This window comes from Homo sapiens, chromosome 11 (assembly GCF_000001405.40).
Source record: "Homo sapiens chromosome 11, GRCh38.p14 Primary Assembly".
Taxonomy (NCBI): domain Eukaryota; kingdom Metazoa; phylum Chordata; class Mammalia; order Primates; family Hominidae; genus Homo; species Homo sapiens.
In genome coordinates, this window is record NC_000011.10 from 113,732,997 (window position 1) to 113,758,110 (window position 25,114).

Genomic DNA, 25,114 nt, shown 5'->3' on the forward strand with positions numbered 1-25,114 from the left:
TAAACAAAGTCCTAGGAGTCCCAAGAATTCTGAGAAATTATCAGGTAGTATTATGATGAATGAAGATGACCAGTCAGTGAGTCCTGTGTGACGGTCATATACCTCAATAAAAAGGATGGCATAGAATGTAAGAAATCTCGTTGTTCTCTTTTGTCAAAGCTCCCATGTTATTAAAGACACTCACCCTTAATTGTAAAAAGCAATATTTATTGGAAAGAAATATTACAGGAAGTCTCCTTAATTCCTGTAAGGCCAAATATGGTGGCCCATTCCTCCCTTCCCCTCCTCCACACCCCTAAAATATCTCCGATTTGCTCAGAAATTCTCTACCCTGACTCCTGGAATCTCCCAATTCCTCGTTCCAAAGCTAGGGCCTGCATTTACAATGTATATAGCTCCCAGAGGGCTCTGGAAGCAGCATGAAATAATGCTGCCTGACAGTTTGTTAGCTAATCAAAGGAAGATGGCTAGAAAGTCAATGAATTGAGGTGCTTTACTTGACAATTTATCTTAATAAACAGTTCTTAAACAAAGCCTCGTACAGGCCAGGAGGTAAGACGTTCTTCTGTAAAGTCAAACTTCCAAGATGTACTGGTTCACCAAAACCAATGGGCGATTCAAAGAAGTCTTTAAGGGAGTAATTATGCCAAGGGAAGAATCCACATATTCAAGACATAGCTTTCTTAAGAAGATGGAGCTATTTAATTTTAGCAAGGGCAGCTGCTCTTCTTTCTGTGTTCTGAAACAAGGCACGAATTAAAGCTTTTACTTCACTGGAAGAGAACGCAGCTGCCAGGGGTCCTTTTCCATCTGCCCACCTGCAAAACGAAAGATAGAGTTCCATTTCCTATTAGGTCTCTGAAGTATAAGCAAGACTTAAAAATTGCCTGTTTGATCCAAATGCTTATTTGCTTGAAATGGAAATAAAACAAATCCTGGGCATCTTTCCTCTTCTTTATAGAACTGCCCCTCAATGTGTCTGACCTCTTTGCTCACCCACTACAACTGGTTATCAGCACAGCCAGATGAAGAGACCAAGTGAGGAATATGAGACTATTCTCCCTTATTCTATACCAAGGCCTCTTTGAACTAATAATGATGACCATACTCTCATGCCTTAGGCTTTATAACTGTATTACAAAGTAACCACAGGCAACCAATTTTAACTGATGAAGGACTAGTACAAAAATATATAAAGAAGTCCCATGAATCAATAGTGAAACCACAAACAACCTATTAGAATAACGGGCAAAAAAATATGAACAGGCATTACATAATAGAAGAAACATGAATGACCAATGAAAAGATGCTCAACATCATTAGAATTTAGGGAAATGCAAATTAAAATGACAATAACCTATCATTGCATGCCAATTAGATCAGCTGAAACTTTCCAGTCTGATAATTCCAAATACTGGTGAAAATGAGACTAAACAGGACAAATAAACTATGAAATATTTGTACAATGGAATGATGCGATGGTGAAAATGAACTGCAGCTACACATACCATCAAGAATGGATTTCAGGCCAGGAGTGGTGGCTCACACCTGTAATCCCAACACTTTGGGAGGCCGAGGAAGGCAGATCACATGAGGTCAGGAGTTCAAGACCAGCCTAGCCAACATGGCAAAACCCCATCTCTACTGAAAATACAAAAATTAGGCGGATGTGGTGATGGGCACCTTTAATCCCAGCTACTCGGGAGGCTGAGGCAGAAGACTTGCTGGAGCGTGGGAGGCAGAGGTTGCAGTGAGCCAATATCACACCACTGCACTCCAGCCTGGGCGACAGAGTGAGACTCTGTCTCAAAAAAAAAAAGGAATAGATTTCAAAAACATAATAATAATATTGAACAAAAGAAGCAAGTTACAGATGATTCTACTTATACCAAGTTCAAAAAAAGGCAAGTCTAAACTTTATGTTATTTAGGATACATGTAAATGGGGTAGAACTATAAAGAAAGGTAAGGAAATAAATAACATAAAAGTCAAGATAATGGTTACCCCTCATGGAGAGCATTTGGAGAAGGGGATTCATGGGTCTTCAAAATACTGGTATTATTTTTCTTAAGTTGGGTAATAGGTACATGAAATTTATTCTTTTTCTTTACATTATAAATACAGAGTATATCTACTGTATTCCTTCATATGTATATTTTACAACTTTAGCCTTATATTTACACAAATCTCTGGGGGAAAAAAATTTCCTAGGCAGTAAAAAGAAGTTGAGTTGTACTAGTGTTATAATTTTTCTTATAACAAGGAATTAATGATCATTCTTAGACTGCAAGAAAGCCCTTTAACAACAGAAAGAAAAATTCTTATCTGCTGCCCTCTGGAGCCTATTACTTAAAGGTGTCTTTGTTACCTGCTAAGGACTTGTAAATAATAAATGAATAAATCTAAACTTTGTAGTAAATGTGATTGGAGGTATTCTGATGTGATTTTTTTTCAAGCAGAGATCTCATTGACATTGTACAAATGACTAATATTTGCAGCAAACAACTCAGACACATCTAGGATGACTGGTCTAATATAACCAGACATCTGTAGTAAACCAAGCTAAAGCAGATAGACAAGTACCTATAGGGATGGAGATGACCTTAAGGCCTCTACAGAGAGTCCTTTATGCAAGGTATACATACTGACCAATAATCTACCAAGACAATATAAAATCATCCATGAATGTGTAACTGACCCACATCTATTCTGCTTTGTGCAACGGCCTCTGCACACTATGATATGATATAGCATACACTCACTGGGCACAGCAACATTAACTGATGGTGTTGAGAGAAAACATCATCCACTACGTTTGAGAAAAGATGAATCCCTTCTAGGTATATGGTGCTTAACCTCTAAAACTACTGCACTCCCTGCAGAAAGACTGCAGGTCAATCAAACAGTAGTCTGATGCTCAATATTTCAGACAGGTAAAAGTCACTTCTCTGTTAATATATCAAAGTAATTCTGAAAATGCATCCAGGCTGGCTGCAGTGGCTCATGCCTGTAATCCTAGCACTTTGGGAGGCCAGGAGTTTGAGACCAGCCTGGACAACACAGAGAAACCTCGTCTCTAAAACAAAACAAAACAAATAAATAATAAATAAAATAATAAAATAAAATAAATTAGCCAGGTGTGGTGGTAGGCACCTGTAATCCCAGCTACTCAGGAGGCTGAGGTGGGAGGATCCCTTGAGCCCACGAGTTTGAGGCTGCAGTGAGGAATGATTGAGCCACTGCACTCCAACCTGGGTGACAGAGTAAGACCATGTCTCAAAAAAAAAAAAGCATCCACTGCTCCTTAAAGTGAGCAACAATTTCCATCCAGATGTCAGAAGGCTATAATTCTTACAGTTGCCAGATCACTTGTACAGCATGCCAAACCACATACTCAAGACCAAAATAATATGGATGAGAAGTCTTTATGCTATCAAATATGGGAAAGTGGTAATGAGATCTGCATTATGATAGATCATGAAAAGGCCCCAGCTACTGCTACTCAATATGAAAGTCTTGCATGACTAACATCAGGAAACAGGGAAAAGCCCTGCTATCAAGGGCACTATTACTCTCTTGTAGCTATGGAGAGTTATATGCCTCTATAGAAGGGTTATACATACCGATCCCCAATTTCTTGCAAGCTGGCTTGTAGCATCATCATCAATTCCTTGAATGGCATCCATTTTGGCACATAGACTGGAACCTCTTCTTGATATTTCTTGTTCTTGCTTTCTTCAGATAAAGGTGCAAATACTTGGGGTCCTTCATCCATCACTGTTTTGCATAAGGAATATAACCTATCACCATCTTCAGTAGATATGTCCTGGTTTTGCACAGAGGAAACACAATAGAATAGAATTGGGCCAGCTCAGAAGTGGGGAAAGGGCAGCAGATCTTTGATGCATGCTGTCCAGGTGGGTCAGCTACAACATGTTTTCCAACCAATTTGGAACAACTTACTAGACACTACATCAGTTCTCTGACAATACTTCTATATAAGAATGACACAAAATATGTTTCAACAGATTGTCAGTAATTTAGTTTGCCTGCATGAAAGAGCCTGTTTCTCCAATAGAATGTCGCACAGCTTGTTGCAAAGCAGGGGATGTGATTACAAATAGGGATTTAGTCAATCTATGATTTAGAGGCATCAGCTGGCCAAGTCCAGACAATTTTCCTGAAGAATCACATGTAAAATTTAAACTGCAACAGTGTGTTGGAAAAATGGAACCTGCACAAGACTGCATTCACTTTACTAAATCAAATTATTGAGTTTACTTGCAAATTAAATGACTTTACACTATACAACGCATCTCAGGACCACTACCCAGTTTCTAACTTCCTCATTTATAATCTAGATGGTAGGCTGAGAAATAGTTCAATCCTACTTTCATATAAAAGAGATTAAACAGTTTCTAGCAAAACAGATATAAAACAAAACTGAAAAAAAAAAAAACAGCATGAGTTAGACATGAAACATGAACAATTTCTTCAACATCACTTTCTTAGCAAAGTCACAATCTGGGACATGAATTGCATCTCAAGGCTAGTGTAGCATCTAATGGCCCTTACCTCTAGGGCAGTAATTTTGCCAATGACCTCAGAAATTGCTGTATTGAGTAAAGTCCCCATAGCCTTGCAATATATATTCACTGGCAGGACATCCTGCCACACAATTCCAAGTCTCTTTAGTTGGTGCAGTACCTGTAGAAGAATACAGCTATTTACGTGGAAGAAAGATTACTGTGACTCGTATTTTCCAGATTTACATTTATCATTTGTGAGTTCATTGGGAAAGTGGCATTATGCCAAAATGAGGTAAAGTAACTAAGGACATATGCTTCTTGAACATTTAACCATAGTGATATCCCTGGTAGATGAAAAGCAGACTCATCAACCTGAGGATAGGAAAACTGCAGCAAAAAAGATAAATCACTTAAGAAAGGGGAGCATTAAGATAAAAGCCAATATTTCAAATTCCCAAATCTAAGTTCAGGAATCAACTACTTGCCACAACAGACTTTCTAGGTAACAAGTTGCAATTATTGAGTCAATGAAAAGATAGTTTCGTGTTGTCTTGGTGGGAGAGGGGAAGAAAAAGTTCTTAAACATGATTGTAAAAGGTATCTAGATTTTCCAAAGGTGGGGGTGCAGGGAATCAACTGAATACTTGTTACATATTGTTTTCTGCTTTAAAAAAGCAAACAAAAAAAAAGGCATCTAAGGATAGAATACAAATTTCAGTGCTAGCAAGAGCCTCCTACCTGCCGGACTGCTTTACTTGCTGCAGAATAATTCTCTTCATCGTCCATATTTGAAAAGTTCCTAGCACTTGATAATCTTTCCAGAAGTTCACCTTTCTGTGCCCGCATTTGGGCCAAAAAGCATTCTGTCCCTATGATGGAAAAACAGAATAAAAAATTTTAAAAGCTGCTCAATTACACACTGCAAAACCAGGATAGACAAGAGATGCATAAACCATGTATCTGTTCTGCCTATATAAAAATAATTGCTAGATAATATCATAAAGCTGCCCTAAAGCTACTAGAAACAATCACTTTGAATACATTAGCCCGTTCCTCAAACCCCACCCTCCAGATAATATTTTCCAGTAGTTTGCTTAGAGCCCGAGTCAGCTAAGAAAAATTACTATAGAAAAAGGAACTACTTATTATTCTGATGTATCTATACCAACTAGGGAAAAATCAAGAATTGAAAAGCTAAGTGAAACACATAGATTCTCTGCTATGATCAACATATTGATTTACTCCACATTTCATTTCTTTTGACTTTTAGTAATCCCAAGTAAAACTAAGGGAGATGTAAGATGGGGGAGCTGTCTTGGGGTTTTGCAAAAGAACTAGCACTGACATTAGTGAGCTCTTACCAACAATACAAACAAAATTGTCACATTATAAATCCTATTATGTGAATCCTGACCTGGCAAATTCAATGCACACTAGGACTGCAGTTTGGAACTCTAACGTACCATGAAATCATGTTACAAAAAAGTAAAAAAGTCTCCCACAAAGACTACACTCACCTTATAAAATTATATAACTGGAAACACTTGCAAATTAAATGCCCTCCCACTTTCTGATACAGCTCAGGACCACCACCTAATTTCTAATTTTCTCATTCAAAAACTATAAAGATACTATGTTGACAAGCTGCATAATCCATATGCTTTCCTACATTGAAAGTATCAGTTACCAAGTCTCCTGAAGCCAGGTACAAGATCCACAAAAGTAGCAGTGCCATCACAAAGAATGGGGGCAAGACGCAATCTGAACTGATGCCCGAGGGTCAGCAAGTGGTGAGCAATGTACATACAGTTGTTGTGATGAATAGCAGCCAACTGGGGAAGTTTTTGAAGGTTCTCCCTAGGCCAGAAGGAGGGGTAGAAAAACAAAGCAACCACCTGTTACTGAAGCTGGGGTTGATGAAAGTCACAACTTCTCTAATGTATTTCTAGGCTTTAATAACTGTCTAGTTTCTAAATGCTATACATAACAAGATACAATCTCATCACTCCCACTCCCAGAGGGAGGCTGTTCTGCCTGAATGGGATTTTATCCTATAAAACTATCCTGGTGATTAACAATAAAGAAAGATTAAGGGAATCAAGATGTTTGCCTGAGTCAACTTTTTGCACTGAAAACCTAGCAGAGCTATGCATAATAATGTCCTTGAAATTTTACACGGATACATCTATGGAAATACAGGTTTACTTCACCTTTCTCCAAATTCCTACTTCAGTCATATAATGAAGTGTTCAATTATTTTCTAATTCACTAGTTTTCAAAAACTGACTAGATTAGAGTCACCTGGGAATTTTAAAAAACCACAGATGTTTAGACTTTACCCCAAACAAATTAAATCACAAGCTCTAAGAGTGAAATCACAGCATTTATATGTTTTAAAATCTTCCCAGGTGATTTTAATTTTCATCCAGGATTGAAAATCACTACTTTAATTCTTCTACACGTATTAGTCTTATCTACCCAGCTTGGGAAGAAATTTTGTCTTATATTTCTGCTATCTACCCACTAACAGTCATTCAATTAACAGTTTCTAGTTTGCTAACTCAATATAAAACTAGGATATACAAGTCAGAAGCCAACAAACTAAGATAACTAAGATAGTCCTCTTTTCCAGCTACACATCAGAATCACCTGTGGGGCTTAAAAAAAAAGAAAAAAACACACCTGGGCCTTACATCAGACATAAATCAAATGCCCTAGGAAGAGAGTAAATATGTATATTTTTAAAGCTCCATAAGTTATTCTAAAATACTGCCCAAAGTCTGGCCGGTGCAGTGGCTCACAACTGTAATACCATCATTTTGAGAGACCAAGGCAGGAGGATCACTTGAGCCAAGGAGTTCAAGACCAGCCTGGGCAACATATACAGACCCTATCATTACAAAAATATGTTAGACAGGTGTGGTGGTGTGTGCCTGTGGTCCCAGCTACTTGGGAGGCTAAGATGGGAAGATCACCTGAGCCCAGTAGGTCGAGGCTGCAATGAGCCATGATTGCACCACTGCACTCCAGCCTAGGCAACAGAGTTAGACTCTGTCTCAAAATATGAAATTAAATGAATGGAATGAAATTGAAATGAAATGAAACGATATAAAAATACTGCCAAAGCTGAGAACCGTTATCTAAGGACAGTGGTTCTCAAAATGTGGTCCCATGACAGGCAACATCAGCATCACCTGGAAATTTGCTAAAAATCCAAGCCCCATTCCAGACCTACTGAATCAGAAACCTTGGGCATGGATCAAGCAATCTGTGTTTTAACAAGACTTCCACGTGATTCTGATGCACACTAAAGTTCCGAGGTTATACGAAGGAGAAAGACAGGCAAATCTAACTCCACTCCTGTCTTTAAATCCCCAAGGACAAGGCTGTCAGCTAATGCAAATATGTTTTCTCTTTTCTTTTGCTTGACTAAGTAAAAAATGAAATAAGAATGTTAAACCACAGTAAAGAGAATACAAATAAAACTAATAAGGTTCACAATAAGCTTTTATAATAAAAACAACAGGTGAGCCTAGTTAAAAACATCCCAATATTCAAAAATCTGAACTAAAAAATACTTTAAATAGTAAACAGCTTTTGTTTTTTTTTTTGGTTTTTTGTTTCTTTGTTTTAATTAGAGGCGAGGGTCTCACTATGTTGCTCAAACTAATCTCAAACTTCTGGCCTCAAACAATCCTCCCACCTCTGCCTTCCAAGGTGCTGGGATTACAAGTGTGAGCCACTGTGCCTGGCAGATTTTTGTCTCTGAAATTCAGAGTTCTTGGCTAAGGAATAGCTTTGTTGACATGTTATCAAAGATATTTATGAAAAACATCTAAACATTTTAATTCAAATAAAGAAAACTGAACTAGAGGCTGAAAGTTAAGTAAAGGCAGTTCTGAAAATGCTTAGCAGCAAAACAAGGTAGTTCTTTTGAGTTTTAAAATGTGCATCATGAACTACACTGCAAGATTATAATACCCTAATTAATTTAGTAATAAATGACCAAATCCTTTAAATATGCGTTTTAAAATGATTTACTGCATTTTAGTGTGAATGTTAGTAAACAAAATATCTTTAGTGGGAATATAAAATTATTTGTTTTAACTTAACTTCCACATCTTAGACATACAATTATTATATAGAAATGAGATACAGTGGTACTTACTTGTGATATGTTGGTACAACATCATGGAACAAATGGAAGATATTCCTCACTGAGTAGAAAAGTTGAACAGCACTAAAAAGAAAACATAGACTTAACAGAAATGCCTAAGAATACACTAAAAACAAGAAAAAAATTTAAACTAAGTGCATCTTCAGTGAGAGTCATAAGCTAAAACTACAGTTGCACAGAACACCTGCCTTGGTTGCTGGAAAACACCATTAATCTAGATGGAAATATAGTCTCAACCAGTATTTACTAACCAGACTACAATTCCAAACACCTGGATGCATTAATGATTGTAAGAAGAGCCGCATTCAACCCAAAGCCTCTTTTCTATTTATCAATTTCTGTTCTGCCAGTACCCAGAGTATCCCTTCAGTAACAAATGGAGCTAAGCCTCAAGCAAATGTCACCTACTCACTGACACACTCTGCAAAGGGCAAGGTATCAATAAAAGCACTCGCTTGGTTCTTTTAGAATCAGTCTGACTTTCAGCTTTCACCTTTTCTCCTTCTTACCTCAATGCAAGGAGGTGAATCAACATTTCTAGGATAGAATCTAGCCCTCAAGATTTTTTGCCCTTTAAATCTAGCCTTAAAACACCTACAGATTATTATTAAAATGCACTTTTAAAAGGCAAACATAAGGTTTGTGTAACTTACCTCTACATAAGAATATCTTAAGCTACGTACCTTAAAAGCTTACAGGGATTTCATAAATATTTAGGAAAATAAGTCATACCCAAAAACCCTGTTACTATTTGATTATTATAATACCTTATTAAATTATTTCATTTTCGCTGCAGGAGCTGCTGTTTGAGTTTGATAATGAAAAAGGGGGTTGTTGCATTGTAGCTGTGGTTTTGTTTGTCCTGTTAAAAACTATTACTTTTAGTGGAAAGAATGTCCATAGATAGTCAGTATACAAATACTGTTTGGTGTTTTGTGTTCCCAAAAAATTTAAGAAATATTGCCCTCATCTCTAACTTCTGGTCTGATATATTTCAGGAGAGTGCCATGTGAAGAAACAGTCCTATATTCATTTTGCCAACAGTCACTCCTATATTCATTTCTTCCTTCTTACAATTAACTCTGAATGGACATGTGAATGTAATGATTCATTAAAGCTAGGAAAGTATCTTGGGAGACATGTTCTTCCTAGAGCAGAATAAAATAAAGAGGTTATCTCACGATAAAAATTGAACTTGGAAAGTCCATCTAAAGATGCAATTTGATTGGGCCAAACCCTAACTGAAACTGTTTTCTCTATGAGGATAGGAAGAATGAAATTGCTAAATGCAGATTCAAACTAAAGAAGCTTTTATAAACCTGCTCTGCAATCAGCTTGGTCCATGCTCTGCCATTTTCTTCTCAATTTAGTCTAGGAGTAGGGAAGAAGCTTATTGAACAAAAACAGATTCCATATAAGATAATGGAGTAGAATTTAAGGTAACGTGAATGCAATATAGATTAGAAGTCATCTTGAAAGAGTGAAGCCAGATCTTTGGCATGTTCCATTCTTTTCCTTCTACCTTTGGCTGCCTAACAAATTGTTATTGCTTCAAATATAAACATTTAAAATATAAATGAATTAGGGACTGGGTTTCAAAAGGTAAAAAGAATGTTAAGCTAAAGAGCCTGAGCAAGCTGGAATAGAAGATATAACTATTACCCACTGCCAACACAATAATAAACATTTGAGTATTAATCATTTTCCAGGTAGGATTCTAAGTTCTTTGCATGTGTTTTCTCATATAATATCATTCAATTCAAATAAAAAGTAAAAATTCAACAACAATTGAAGAACTTTTTGTTAAAAAGTGATTAACAATTTTTAATGTCAAAAAAATCCATTTGTCCATCCATACAAGTGCACCTACTTCCTACACCTTGCTCAAACATCTATGCTATTGCAAATAAAAGTCAGAGATAGACATAAATCTGTGTGATGCACTGGGTTTTTGTTTTGTTTTGTTTTGTTTCCAGAAAAAGCATTAACTTCTAGGATATGAAAACCCAAAGAATTCCAGCTAATTTTCCTGATAAACATCTAGTTAGATATGCATTTAACCAAGTCATTGCCATTTTCACACAACCCAGAATTCGTACCATTGATCACTACTGGTTGTTGCCTCTAGTAAAGTCTGATAGGCGAGTTCCATTAATTTCTTCACAGACTCACTGATACGGCATGTGGGCAAGGAAAAGGAATGTTGGTCCAATGTATTTTCAGGCTCTAAATTCATCACTTCGTGGTACTGAGTATTGGATACTTTCTGTACTTCCAGTTTGTTATCCTCATCAGGAGTGGGTAACTCTGGCACATTTATCTTAGAATCAGGAATAATCTAAGATTCAAACACAAAAATACAGAAAATATATTGTTTTCAGAATAATTCAAATATAAGCACACGGCCGGGCATGGCGGCTCACGCCTGTAATCCCAGCACTTTGGGAGGCCGAGGCGGGCAGATCACGAGGTCAGGAGATCGAGACCATCCTGGCTAACACGGTGAAACCCCGTCTCTACTAAAAATACAAAAAATTGGCCGGGCGTGGCAGCGTGCGCCTGTAGTCCCAGCTACTCGGGAGGCTGAGGCAGGAGAATGGCGCAAACCCGGGAGGCGGAGCTTGCAGTGAGCGGAGCTTGTAGTGAGCTGAGATCATGCCACTGCACTCCAGCCTGGGCGACAGAGCACGACTCCGTCTCAAAAAAAACAAATATAAGCACACGGTGAAGAATAAGATACTGCTTGCTTTCATGATACAGCTACGGCTCTACAGAGTAATTAAAAGATTTCAATAAATATGACAATATTTTAATGACTGCTGAATCCTAGATGAAAGCATGTCATAAGTGATAAACAATTCCCTTAATCCCCTTTACTGTGACATTCTTCTAAGCACTCTTTTTGAGACAGGGTCTTGCTCTGTCACCCAGGCTGGAGTGCAGTGGCACAATCATAGCTCACTGTAGCCTCAACCTCCCATGTAGCTGGGACTACAGGCACCCACCACACCCAGCTAATTTACTTTTATTTTTAGTAGAGAAAAGGTCTTGCTATATGGCCCAGGCGGGTCTCGAACACCTGGGCTCAAGTCATTCTCCCTCCTCGACTTCCCAAAGTGCATGGATTATAGGCATGAGCAAACGCACCCGGCCCCAAGCATTCTTAATCTTGGCTGAAATAGCAAAGCTGTGCAACTGGCCTAAGATTTCAGCTAAATAAAAAGACCTTCAAAAATCATCTGTCTCATACTAGACTATTAGTATTACAGAGCAGCATAATTTGGGGTTCCACTGTCTAGATTCTTGAACAAATTATTTTGTACCAGGCACATGTGTTGGCTTAGTCTAAGAAATAACTCATTCTCATTCAAACTAGCATATCCTCCCCTTATTAAAAAAAAAAAGCTTCAATAGAAAATTTCTTTTGTTGGGACTAAATGAAAGAACAGTAGGCTGTGAATGTGAAAACAGTAATATTTTTCACCCTAACTTTTAACAAAGTCATTTAACCTCTCTGGATCTCAATTTTCTCACTGTAAAATAAATAATATACTAATAATGGCTTTTGAACCTTGTTCCTCAAAGATGCTTCAGGGATTAAAAAAAAAAAAAAAGATAAAGCATGTAGAGGCAGCAGGCTCCCTACTCCCACTGCAAGAATAACAACTTTGCACATACTGGACTTCGACAGAGATTTTCTGGCAGAAAAGGTTCAAAGTCTAATAAAACTATTTAAGTCAGTGGACTTGGCTGTCTAATCTGTAAAATGGTATAATAATATCTACTTTAGAGAGCTGTTATGAAGTTTAAATGAGAACACAAATATCAGGGACTGGGTAGTCAAAAATTATGGCTAAGATTAGAATGATGATGAAAAAATTTACTTACAGAGTTTATTTAAAATGCTAATCTTTGTCTGAAAAATAGTGGGCCTGGATACATAAGATTCGAAAAGGTGACTTCATGAGGAGGGGCAAAGGAAACTAAGACGGAAGAATGTTAGACCTAGTAAGATGTCTCTTAAGACAAAATGTAAAAACCAAACAACAACAAAAAACACAACTATAGATCTTTTGGGAAAACAGTGAGTACACATAGGGGAATAAAGAGAATTGAGAAACAGACCATGAAAAGCAATTAAGTTGAAAACGTTTTTTAGAAAAGGGAAGAGGAGCTTTTTTCAAAGTTGGGAAGTTTAGAAAATCTAATTCCAGGGCCTAAATGCCAAGAGAAAGAACCAGCTGGAATCTAAAGCAGTGGTTCTCAATCAGGGAAAACTCTGTCTTAAAGGGGGCATTTGGCAATGTCTGGAGATATTTTTGCTTGTCACAGCTGGAAGAGGTGCTACTAGAATCTAGGGAACAGAGGTCAGGGATGCTGCTAAATATCCCATAGGACAGTCCCCCACAGCGAAGAATTAGCCGGTCCCAAATGTTAACACTGCCACTGCTGAGACGTCCTGACCTAGAGGAAGCTACATTAGGATTTGAGTACTCAGAAAAAATGCAGTTTTACAAACTCTCAAAATTACTTAAGTAGGAAACTCAGATTATCTAGTTCAATCCTCTCACAGTACAGAAGAGGAAAATGAGGTTCAACAAGGTGAGAAGATTAAGCCCAGAGTCACAGAGCAATTCAGCAGTAATGCTGTTTACATCAAGGAGTTGTGAGATATATATGAATTCATTTACCAAAGGTAATCAGTAAGCACATGAGCACTGAGTACATAGTAGTAGTATGTATGTACCAGGTATTTTCTTAGTGCTGGAGATATAACAGTAAACAAAACAGTCAAAAAAAAAAAAAAAAAAAACAACAACAAAACTCTACCCTCATGGAGCTTACTTTCTAGAGGGAGAAACAACAAACAATTCATATAAAATGTTGGTTGATGATATAATAAAAAGAAAAATACACCAAGGAAGGGGTACAGGAAATAGGGGAGGTTATAATTTTTTTTAAGTGATCAGAAAGTACTTTTTAAAAAGCAAATCATGTGATCTGCGGTAAGAATATTCCATGCAGAGGTAACAAGTGGTTCAGAGATTCTGAAACAAAGTAGGCCTAGCACATTCAAGGAACAGAAATAAGTCCAGGATGCCTGCAGCATAGTGAAGGATGAATGCAATAGATAATAGAGTCAGAGAGGCAATAGGAGGCAGATCAGATAAGGCCTTGCAGTCCACTGTAAGGCTACTGGGTCTTCTCTAAATAAGATGGGAAGACACTGGACTTTCTGCAGAAGAGTGACATAATCAATTGACATTTATGTTAAAAGAAACCACAGCCCAATTCAAGGTATATACATTATTTCATACATGTAAGATATGAAAAAAAAAAGGTCAAAGGTCCACTGCCTTTACAGGTAATTATTTATATCCTATCTTTTTATTTACCTTTTTATTATTTTAACTTTAAAACTAGTCTCTCTATTAGATGAAGTCAACACTTTCATAAGAGGATATAATTTCTGGACATAATGTAGCCCAAGTGTACCTGTCACAAAGTTGTGTCCTAAAACCTTCAGAAATAAAGATGAGAATAATCTACTGTCTCACTTCAACAATAATAATCCATTACATGTATGTAGACTTTTTCAATTTATACAAGGCTTTCATGTGCATTATCGTATCTGCACTTCACAATACCCAATGGAAGAGGTGGAGATTAGGACCACTTTAAAGGAGACAAAACCAATGTAAAAAAGATTGATAACTTGACTCAGCTCAACAACCGTCATCCTCTCTTCCACTTTACTATATGCATCTCAAAATGAGTTGCTTTCTCATATACAATGTTTCATATACAATGCAATATAACACTGGTACCTTCACAGTGTTATGAATTTCTGAGGTCATTAGATTTCTGGCTGCCACAATCACATCCTGGCACTTTTTGTTTGCAAAATGAGAATTGATGTTACGAGCGTATTTCAGCAAATCTGTAGTATCTCCTTTTAAAAATCTCATTTCCTTTAGGGCATTTTCAAATTCTTCAGTGGACTGTATGATCTGAGATACAAAAGAAAAAAAAGAAAAGAATCATTTACATATATTCCATTACAATATTAGAATTTCAAATCCAATGTATAAAAAAATGAGGACCAAGCTGGTCATTTTAGAATGGACCATCAATTACTAGGTATAAAAATATACATATTTCCAGCCTTAAATTCATTAGAAAGAATATCTTCAGTAGAAATGTCTGACTCTACTTAGTAAAAATAGAAAGATCTTTAAAACAAATATACTTATTTTAGCATTCAAGGAAACACTAAAAAGAAGCAAAAAGTAAAATGTCACACAATAGCTATTATAGCTGATATAAGTATAAATGAACATAAAGAAAATATATTTAGTAAGGAAACAAACTTCTGCAGTTAAAGAGGTAGGAAGCCAGGAGAAAAATGAAGTTATATGGAATTTGTCTCTATTCCTTATTAATAATTTACTTAAAGGTATAACTAAAGAACAAACTATCTCCAAGGAAAAACAAAAGACAGCAATAAGAAACAACAGTGTCTTAAAACCTTCTGTGCTGTCTGGGCTCTTTACCTCTTCATATTGCTGTAATTTGCTGCTATTTGTTGGAATCGAATAAACCAAACAGTTTTTGATGAGGCACTCAGACAAGTCCTCCCAGATCATGTCTCCAAGCATCTCAGCCAATGGGACAGTAGATGTTTTTTCATTTTCCAGGTCAGTGTCAAGTGGCAAATCTGAATTTTTTAAAAAAAGAAGTTTTAAACAAGAAACCATTCGCAGTCCTGGAATATTCTTAGGTTTTCTAGAATTCTTTAATTTTAAGATGATGGGGAAGAAAACAGCACAGATAATTCCACAGCCTTCTCAACTGCGTGGGACAAATCATGACACACAATTATTATTATTTTATTTTCACTGCTCAAATGAATTGTCTGTACTATATTACTGTCTGTACTCTGTAACAATGAGGTATTAAGCCATCTACATTATAATCATCTAGTGCTAGCTGCTGATTTGATTGTATGACAAGCACTCAGAAGTTCTGCATTCTAACTTGAAACTAGTTTAGAATAAAATCTCACTTATTTAATAATGAATAAACATACTTTTTTCGTCTCTGCATAGAATCTGAGTGTTTGTACTTTACAGTAAAACATAACTAGTTTATAAAACAGAATACTTCAATACCTCCTCTACAGTATATGTTATGGTGCATTTTTCGAACACATATTGAGGATGTTGTTTAGAATATCTTACTAATCAATTAAATAATAATTAAGAACCAGGCACCAATGTAGAAGGAAGAGGACTCATAAAAGAGACTAGCTGTTATGAACCTAGTTCTGATTCACAAAGGAAGACTTAGGGGATTAAGAGCCTTAGAAGAGCAGGGCACAGTGACAAAGCCATTCAGGAGGCTGAGGTGGGAGGATCACTTGAGCCTAGGAGTTCAAATCCAGCCTGGGCAACATAGCAAGATCAAGTCTCTTTAAACACAAACACACACACACACACACACGCCTTAGAAGAAAGTGAACATATTATCTCAAAGCCTTTAAGATACCTCACAACATCTAAAGTCTAGTCTGCATTGTCCAATATGATAGCCACCAACCACATTTTGCTACTAAACACTTAAAATGTGGCTAGTGTGACTGAGAAATTCAACTTTTTAGTTTTGATTAACTGAGATTTAAGTTTAAAAATAGAAGCAGGGGTGTGTGCTTATAAAGGGACAGCACAAAGGAGCTTTGTGGTTTTGGAACAGTTCTGTGTCTTGATTGTAGTGGTGGTTACATGAGTTTACACATATGAAAAAATTGCACAGAACTACAGAAACACACACACAAGCATGTAAAACTGGTGAAATCTAAATAAACTCTATGAATTGTACCAATGTCAATTTCCTGGTTTTGATATTGTACTATACTGCACTATATATTACTATATAATATTTAAGATGTTAACACTGTAGAAAATTCAGTGGAGGCACGAGACCTCTCTGTAATTTTTGAATGGAAAAAATTTTTTAAAGCAGCAGTATAAAATACTTTTCCATTAAACACAATTTCATTGTTTTGATAGAACTACATTTAACTGCAACTACTGCATCACATATTACTGTTGTATTGTCAAGCACTCAACAGGCACAAATGTCATTTCTGGTATTTCATATAATACATTGCCAAACCAGTCAGTGTCAACAGACTGATCCCAACATGATTTTTTTCTCCAGACTGATCCTATCACAGTTCTTTTCCTCCATGCACTAACATAACATTGTAATGTGTTTATTTGAATATTTTATGCATAGAGCGCAAGTTATGGTGATACCTACATAAATTGTAATAGGTAGTTGAACTGAAATACTCATTTTAATTATGATATTATTCTTTTTCTAGATTAAGAAAATATGTACAAATTTTTAAATTTAAAACAAAGCATACTATTGATACAGTCAAGTGAAGATGGAGAAGCTGGTGGTACCACTGAAAGAGCAAAGGTAAAAAAGACTAGAAGAAAGTATGTCACAAATTTCACAATCAATGGCAGCTGCAATTTGCTACAACAGGGCAAAACAAAAAAAGCTGCTTGCTTGTTGCATACAAAACATTTTTTTTCTTTTTTTTTTTTGAGATGAAGTTTTGCTCTTGTTGCCCAGGCTGGAGAGCAATGGCGCGATCTTGGCTCACTGCAACCTCCGCCTCCTGGGTTCAAGCGATTCTCCTTCCTCGGCCTCCCAAGTAACTGGGATTACAGGCGCCCGCCACCACGCCCAGCTAATTTTTGTATATTTAGTAGAGATGGGGTTTCACCATGTTGACCAGGCTGGTCTTGAACTTCTGACCTCAGGTGATCCACCTGCCTTGGCCTCCCAAAGTGCTGGGATTACAGGCATGAGCCACCGCGCCTGGCTACAAAACATTTTTTAAGACAATAAAGTGAACAATATTAAGGGACATTTTCAGCAAATACATTAGGAATTTGATGCTTCCTGTGAAAAAAGAATTGACAAAATTAGTCACCTGAAATTAGAATTAAATGTCCAATAAAAAGTGTGATTTTAACAGGACCTGAACTTCTAACTTTCACCCGCTATAAAATAACTTGGATTCTTGCACAAAAAAGAAAATCCTTTTTAAATGGGGAGATGGCAAAAGAAGTGATCTTGTTTTTTTTTTTAATTTTCTTAAAAATTACAAGGAAAGGATATATTTTTTAAAATGTAAAAGATTTTCAATGAAGCAACCACAGAATACTGTCCATAAAATACAATATCTTTCTAACAATATCAAAGATCAATTGATTCAATTTCTGGAAAACTGCAAATACTTTTTTTTTTTTTTTTAGTGTTTATTTTATGCACAAAGAGCCATCGTGGTTTTTTATTAGGTAGATGCCTTGGATAATCCTTTCAAGGAAGATCACTTAGTCCAACTTAATGAAACCAATATCCTTCGCATACTGACGGAGACACTGGAGGCACACATTGAGGCCATATTTCCAGATCAGACCATGCTGGCTTGAGCAGACACGACAAAAGCGAGAATCCTGGCTGAATTTTCACCAGTGGCTCCAGTACAGCTGCTGGTGACCTATCTTGCTCTCAGAAGTGCGATGAAATAAAAAGGCCAAATACTTTTCTTTAGCTTTAAATCATACTTTTGATACATTTTTTCCAAAGGGACTTCCAAATTTGCAAAGAAATATTATCAATTCACAGCCTAAAATATCAATCTCACTGCACAGTTGTTGTCTGTTTTCCACAGGTATTTTTAATCTTTCACATTTGTCAAAGAATTTCAGCAAGATATGAAAAAATTAATTTTTATTACAATGAATAGTGTTTTAGTTCTATGTTAGGGGAAAAAAATTCAGATTTATTGGAATTTTAAAACAAAAGGCTGGCTGGGCGCAGTGGCTCACGCCTGTAATCCCCGCACTTTGGGAGCCAAGGAGGGCAGATTACAAGGTCAAAAGTTCGAGACCAGTCTGACCAACATGGTGAAACCCCGACTCTACTAAAAATACAAAAATTAGCCGGACGTGGTGGCATGCACCTGTAATCCCAGCTACTCAGGAGGCTGAGGCAGAATTGCTTGAACCCAGGAAGTGGAGGTTGCAGTGAGCTGAGATTGTGCCACTGCACTCCAGCCTGGGCGACAGAGCGAGACTCCATCTCAAAAAAAAAAAAAGAGAAGACTAATGATTCCCTTATTGCTTCACTCCATCACGTGATAGATACCTGCATTCAGTTTTTTATCTGAAACATGCTCTATAAAAAGTTTAATGAACATTGTTAAAAGCATTCAGTTTGCATACATGCAAATACTATAAATTATTACTGGTTAATGGAACTGTTGAAAGAAACAGAAGACAATAAATATGAACTTATGTTCTTTGCCAATGCTCATTAGTTGAATCTGGAAGGGTTTTAGAAACATTTACTACATTGTTATCTTCAAGGCTTTGTTAAAACAAAAGAAATGCTTGCCAAATATTCAAATAATCAAAGATTAAAAAATGGCAAAAAACTTTTGTTTTCGTACTTACGTCACACTGCACATGAACAAGATGTGTGTGTGTGTGTGTGTGTGTGTATTTGCCAAATATATATACACACACAGCTGTTACGGACTGAATTGTGCCCCTGCCCAAATTTATACGTTGAAGCCCTAGCCCCCAATGTGACTAGATTTGGATATACAGGCATACTTCATTTTATTGTGTTTTGCTTTAATGTGCTTCACAGATACTGGTTTTTGGGGTTTTATTTTCAAATTGAAGATTTGTGGCAACCCTGCATTAAGCAAGTCTATGAGCACCATTTTGTCCAAGAGCATGTGCTCACTTCATATATCTGTGTCACATTTTGGCAATTCTCAGAGTATTTCAAACTTTTTCATGATCTGACATTACCATTGCAATTGTTTTGAGATGCCATGAACCACTCATGTAAGACAGTGAACTTAACAAATGTTGTGTGTGTTCTGACTACTCCACTAACCAGCCACCCCTTTCCCTCATACCCCGACCCTTTCCACTCATGTCTCTATCTCCTAGGGTTTCCCTATTCCCTGAGACACAATACTGAAATTAGACCAACTAATAACCCTACAATGGCTTATACGTGTTCAAGTGAAAGAGTCACACATCTCTCACTTTATATCAAAAGCTAGAAAAGATAAAACTCAGTGATGAAGGAATGTCAAAGGCTCAGAGAAGTCAAAAACTAGGCCTCTTGCACCAGTTAGCCAAGTTTTGAATTCAAAGGAAAAGACTGGGTTTTTTTAGTGTAAACATTACTTTTATTTACTTATGTATTTACCTTTACTTTTTTTTTAACTTTTATATTAAGTTCAGGCGTACATGTGCAGGTTTGTTATATAGGTAAACTTGTGTCACGGGGGTTTGTTGTATAGATTATTGCATCACCCAGGTATTAGGCCTAGTACCCATTAGTTATTTTTCCTGATCCTTGTCCTCCTCCCATCCCCCACCCTCCAATAGGCCCCAGTGTGTGTTGTCCCCAATATGTGTCATGTGTGTTCATCACTTAGCTCCCACTTATAAGTGAGGACATGCGGTATTTGGTTTTCTGTTCCTGAGTTGGTTGGAAAAGCTCTTGAAGGAAATGAAAAGTGTATTAAAAGTGTATTAGTGAACACATGGATTATAAAGTAAAACAACCTTATTTATGGAGAAAGTTTTGTTTTTTGTTTTGTTTTGTTTTTTTGAGATAAAATCTTGCTCTGTCACCCAGGCTGGAGTGCAATGGCATGATCTCAGCTCACTGCACCCTCCACCTCCTGGGTCCAAGCAATTCTCTCACCTCAGCCTCCTGAGCAGCTTGGATTACAGATGGGTGCCACCATGCCCAGCTAATTTTTGTATTTTAAGTAGAGACAGGGTTTCACCATGTTGGCCAGGCTGGTCTTGAACTCCTGACCTCAAGTGATCCATCTGCCCTGGCCTCCCAAAGTGCTGGAACTACAGGAGTGAGCCACTGTGCCTGGCAATTTATGGAGAAAGTTTGAGTGGTCTGTGTAGAAGCTCAAACCCACCATGACATTTTCTTAAAGCCAAAACCTAATCCAGAGCAAGGCCTTAACGCTCTTCAATTCTATGAAGGCTCAGAGAGGTGAGGAAGCTGCAGGAGAAAAGGCTGAAGCTAGCAGAGTTTGGTTCATGAGTTTGAAGAAAAGAAGCTGTCTCCATAATAGAAAAGCTCAAGGTGAAGCAGCAAGTGCCAATGGAAAAGCTACAGCAAGTTATCCAGCAGACCTAGCTAAGATAACCGACAAAGGTCTCTATACTAAACAATAGATTTTTAGTGTAGACAAAATAACCTTCTATTGGAAGAATATGCCATCTTGAACTTTTATTGCTAGACAGAAGTCAATACTTGGCTTCAAAGCTTCAAACGATAGGCTGACCCTCTTGTTAGGGACTAATGCTGCTGGTGACTTTAAGATGAAACCATGTTCATCAACCGTTCCAAAAATCCTAGCACCAGGCCGGGTGCGATGGCTCACACCTGTAATCCTAGCACTTTGGGAGGCCAAGGCAGGTGGACTTCTTGAGGCCAGGAGTTCAAGATCAGCCTGGGCAACATAGTGAAACCCCGTCTCTACTAAAATTACAAAAATTAGCTGGGCATGGTAGTGCAGGCCTGTAATCCCAGCTACTCAGGAGGCTGAGGCACGAGAATCGCTTGAACCCAGGAGGCAGAGGTTGCAGTGAGCCGAGATCATGCCACTATACTCCAGCCTGGGCAACAGAGTGCGACTCCATCTCAAAAAAATTCCCAGGACCCTTAAGGATTATGCTAAATCTACTCTGCTTGTGCTCTAGAGATAGGATAAAGCCTGGATGGCAACACATCTACAACAGCATGGTTTTTCAGGATATTTTTCAAAAACAGCATGTCTTATTTTCTTTTTTGAGACAGACTCTTGCTGTTACCCAGGAGTGCAGTAACGTGAACACAGCTCACTGCAGCCTCCAACTGGGCTCAATTGATCCTCCTGCCTCAGCTTACCAAGTAGCACATGCCACTATGCCTGGCTAATTTTTTATTTTTTTAGTAGAGGCCAGGTATCGCTATGTTACCCAGGCCAGGTATCACTATGTTACCCATAGCAATACCCAGGCAGGTATCGCTATGTTACCCAAATTCCTGGCCTCAAGCAATTCTCTTACCGTGGCCTTCCAAAGCTCTTGGATTACAGGTGTGAGCTACCATGCCCAGCCAATAGCATGGTTTACTGAATATTTTAAGGTCTCTGTTGAGACCTACTGCTCAGAAAAAAAGATTTCTTTCAAAATATTACTGCTTACTGGCAATGCACCTGGACGCCCAAGAACTCTGATGGAGATAAACAAGGAGATTAATATGTTTTGATGCCTGCTAACACCATCCATCTGTAGCCTATGAATCAAGGAGTGATTTTGACTTTCAAGTCTTATTATTCAAGAAATAAAATAGCTGCTACAGTGATTCCTCTGATGGATCTGAGCAAAATAAAATGAAAATCTTCTAGAAAGGATTCACCATTCTACATGTCATTAAAAGCATTCATGATTCATGGGAGGAGGTCAAAATAGCAAAATTAACAGGAGTTTGGAAGAAGTTGATTCCAACCCTCATGACTTTGAGGGGTTTAAGACTTCAGTTAAAGAAGGAACTGCCAATGTACTAGAAATGGCAAGAGAGCTAGAATCAGAAATAGAGCCTGAAGATATAACTAAATTGCTGCAATCTCATGATAAAACCCGAATGTATGATAAGTTGTTTCTAGTGGATGAACAAAGAAAGTGGTTTCTTGAGACAGAATCTACTGCTGGTGAAGATGCTGTGAACATTGTTTATATGACAACAAAGGATTTAGAACAGTCCATAAATTTAGTTGATAAAGCAGTGGCAGGGTGAGAAGACTGACTCCAATTTTGAAAAAAGTTCTACTAGGGGTAAAATGCTATCAAACAGCACTGCATGCTACTGAGAAATCTTTCATGAAGGGAAGTCAATTGATGAGGCAAGCTTCATTGTTGTCTTATTTTAAGAAATTGACGCAGCCATCCAACCTTCAGCAACCACCATCCTGATCAGTCAGCAGCCATCAACATTGAGGCAAGACCCTTCACCAACAAAAAGATTATGACTCACTGAAGGCTCAGATGATCGTTGGCACTTTTTAATAATAATATATTTTTAAATTAAGGTATGTACACTTTTTAGACATAATGCTATAGCACACTTAATAGACAACAGTACAGTGTAACTATAACTTTTATATGCACTGGGAAATAAAAAAATTTGTGGGACTCGCTTTATTGGGATACTTACTTTATTGCAGTGGTCTAAAACCAAACCCGCAATATCTCTGAGGTATGCTAGTAGTCCCTTTAAGGAGGTAATTAAGGTTACATGAGGTCATAAGGGTAGAGTCCTGATCCAATACAACTGGTGTCTTTATAAGAAGAGGAAGAGACAGGAGGATGCAAATGCACAGAGAAAAAGCCATGCAAAGACACATCAAGAAGGCCATCTGCAAGATAAGAGAGGCTTCAGGAAAAACCAAACCTGCCAATACCAGAAGAGCAATGAAGATCAGGAGAACTTAAAACTATGTCACTCAAAAAATAAAAATGTTTATACTGGTGATAAGATATAGGGGAAATAACAGCAACTGTAAAGAATTTGAAAATCCATCATCTGTAATAGGAATTAGACTCATTCTATATGGCTCCACACCATAGAAATAGCATCAATAAAGTAGACATTACAGGGTAGTATATTGTGACAAACTTTTAAAATAACTACCCTAAAGATTTAATTTGCAAAACTGGCATTTTCGTAGTACTATTTAAGAGTACAGGTAAGAAATGTGAGTTTTAAAAAACAAAACAAAACAAAAACCTGCCTGGTACTCAGAACTGCCCAGGGGCAGGATAAAATGCCTCAAGTTCTCTCTCACTAAAAGCATTCAGATTGGCTATCTGACCAATTGATGGAATATTATAGAGGAGATTCAGGCATCTGAGATATTTGGACCAAATCATCTCTCCAATTCCTTCTAATCTTTGGATGCTTTGTTTACAACTTAATTTATATCTAGTGAAAATAAAATTGTATTCCTCCCTAAGGGAAGGCTCTGGGAACAAGAAAAACTACCTTGGATTTCTGAAGTTTATGCAAGCCTTAGGATTTTTTTTTCTCTGCTCTCATCAAAACTATAGAAAAGTCCTTGCTTTACATATAGATTATTTATACATAAATATACAGTATATGACTGCCAGGAAGGCCCACAAACAGTAGGAGCATTTCTTTTTTACTTTAGCCACAGCAAGAATGGTTAGCCAGGCTATTCAATATGACAGCTGAGAAAAGCACATAGAAGGTAAATCAAATAGACTTAAAAAAAAAAAAAAGCAGTATTAAAACACAAGAGACTTCACTTTTAATGGTACAACAACCAAAAACATGATTTATGGAATACAGAAACTGGCTGTGTCTAGTGTGAATACACCAAGATCAACAGGCTGAAATAGAATTTATTTCCTATGTTAAACTAAGTTTGGTTATATCAGATTAATAGAGGTTTTAATGGAAATATGTAAAACAACACTTGGTTCATTTCTTCTTCTCCTATAATTAAAGCACGAGTTCCAATTTGTGACGGTACTGGGAGTCCAGTGAGAGAAGTGCATCCTAGAATTCAACTAAAATAATATCACAAATACAGAATCTGGGGTACCACTGATGGCCCTACTTGTCAATACAATGCAGAGAAGGAATGCAAAATAGGCAAAAAAACAAGAAGGCAACTCTTTTGCCCCTATGGCACAATTTACTTACTTTTCATCCTCCTTTCTCACACATTATAGGCATTTCTACTTTAAAATAATATTTACTTTTATAAACAATATTTAGTTTCCAAAATATAAAAGCACTGCCTTGGAGACACATACCTAGAAGCTGTTTCTGGAGCACTTCTAGTACCAGTCTGATCTTTGTAAAAACTTCAGATGGTGATGGATATTCCAAGTTAGTCATTATAGATTCAAAACGAATAATAACTATGTTAGGCTGGCTTTCTATCACAGCATGAAGGGATGGGCAAGATGCCAGCGGCCTAAGGATATACTTCAGCAGCATCTGACCTGAAAAATCATATGAACATTCATCAAAAAATCACCATAAGACACTTCTAGGCCAGGCACAGTGGCTTACATCTGTAATCCCAGCACTTTGGGAGGCCGAGGCAGGTGGATCATCTGAGGCCAGCCTGGCCAACATGGTGAGATCCCGTCTCTACTGAAAATACAAAAATTAGCTGGGCATGGTGGCAGGCACCTGTAAATCCCAGCTACTCGGGAGGCTGAGGCAGGAGAACTGCCTGAACCCAGGAGGCAGAGGT

General features: G+C 37.4%; 1 protein-coding gene and 1 pseudogene across 2 annotated transcripts in view; both read right to left on the reverse strand.

The window, feature by feature from the left end:
* Nucleotides 1–190: 190 nt before the first annotated feature.
* Nucleotides 191–25,114, reverse strand: part of ZW10 (zw10 kinetochore protein) — a 40,506-nt gene continuing 15,582 nt past the window's right edge. The window contains exons 7-16 of one of the 2 annotated variants that reach the window (NM_004724.4): nucleotides 24,666–24,857; nucleotides 15,261–15,424; nucleotides 14,535–14,717; nucleotides 10,806–11,044; nucleotides 8,698–8,769; nucleotides 6,217–6,386; nucleotides 5,268–5,398; nucleotides 4,576–4,707; nucleotides 3,624–3,826; nucleotides 191–818 (exon numbers count right to left, since the gene is read on the reverse strand). In NM_004724.4, the coding sequence (NP_004715.1) occupies nucleotides 698–818; nucleotides 3,624–3,826; nucleotides 4,576–4,707; nucleotides 5,268–5,398; nucleotides 6,217–6,386; nucleotides 8,698–8,769; nucleotides 10,806–11,044; nucleotides 14,535–14,717; nucleotides 15,261–15,424; nucleotides 24,666–24,857 (1,607 nt within the window). In that variant the 3' untranslated portion in view covers nucleotides 191–697. The remainder of the gene's footprint in view (nucleotides 819–3,623; nucleotides 3,827–4,575; nucleotides 4,708–5,267; nucleotides 5,399–6,216; nucleotides 6,387–8,697; nucleotides 8,770–10,805; nucleotides 11,045–14,534; nucleotides 14,718–15,260; nucleotides 15,425–24,665; nucleotides 24,858–25,114) is intronic. The other variant, XM_017018558.3, reaches the window with a different exon arrangement.
* RPS29P19 (ribosomal protein S29 pseudogene 19) lies at nucleotides 18,120–18,290 on the reverse strand (annotated as a pseudogene).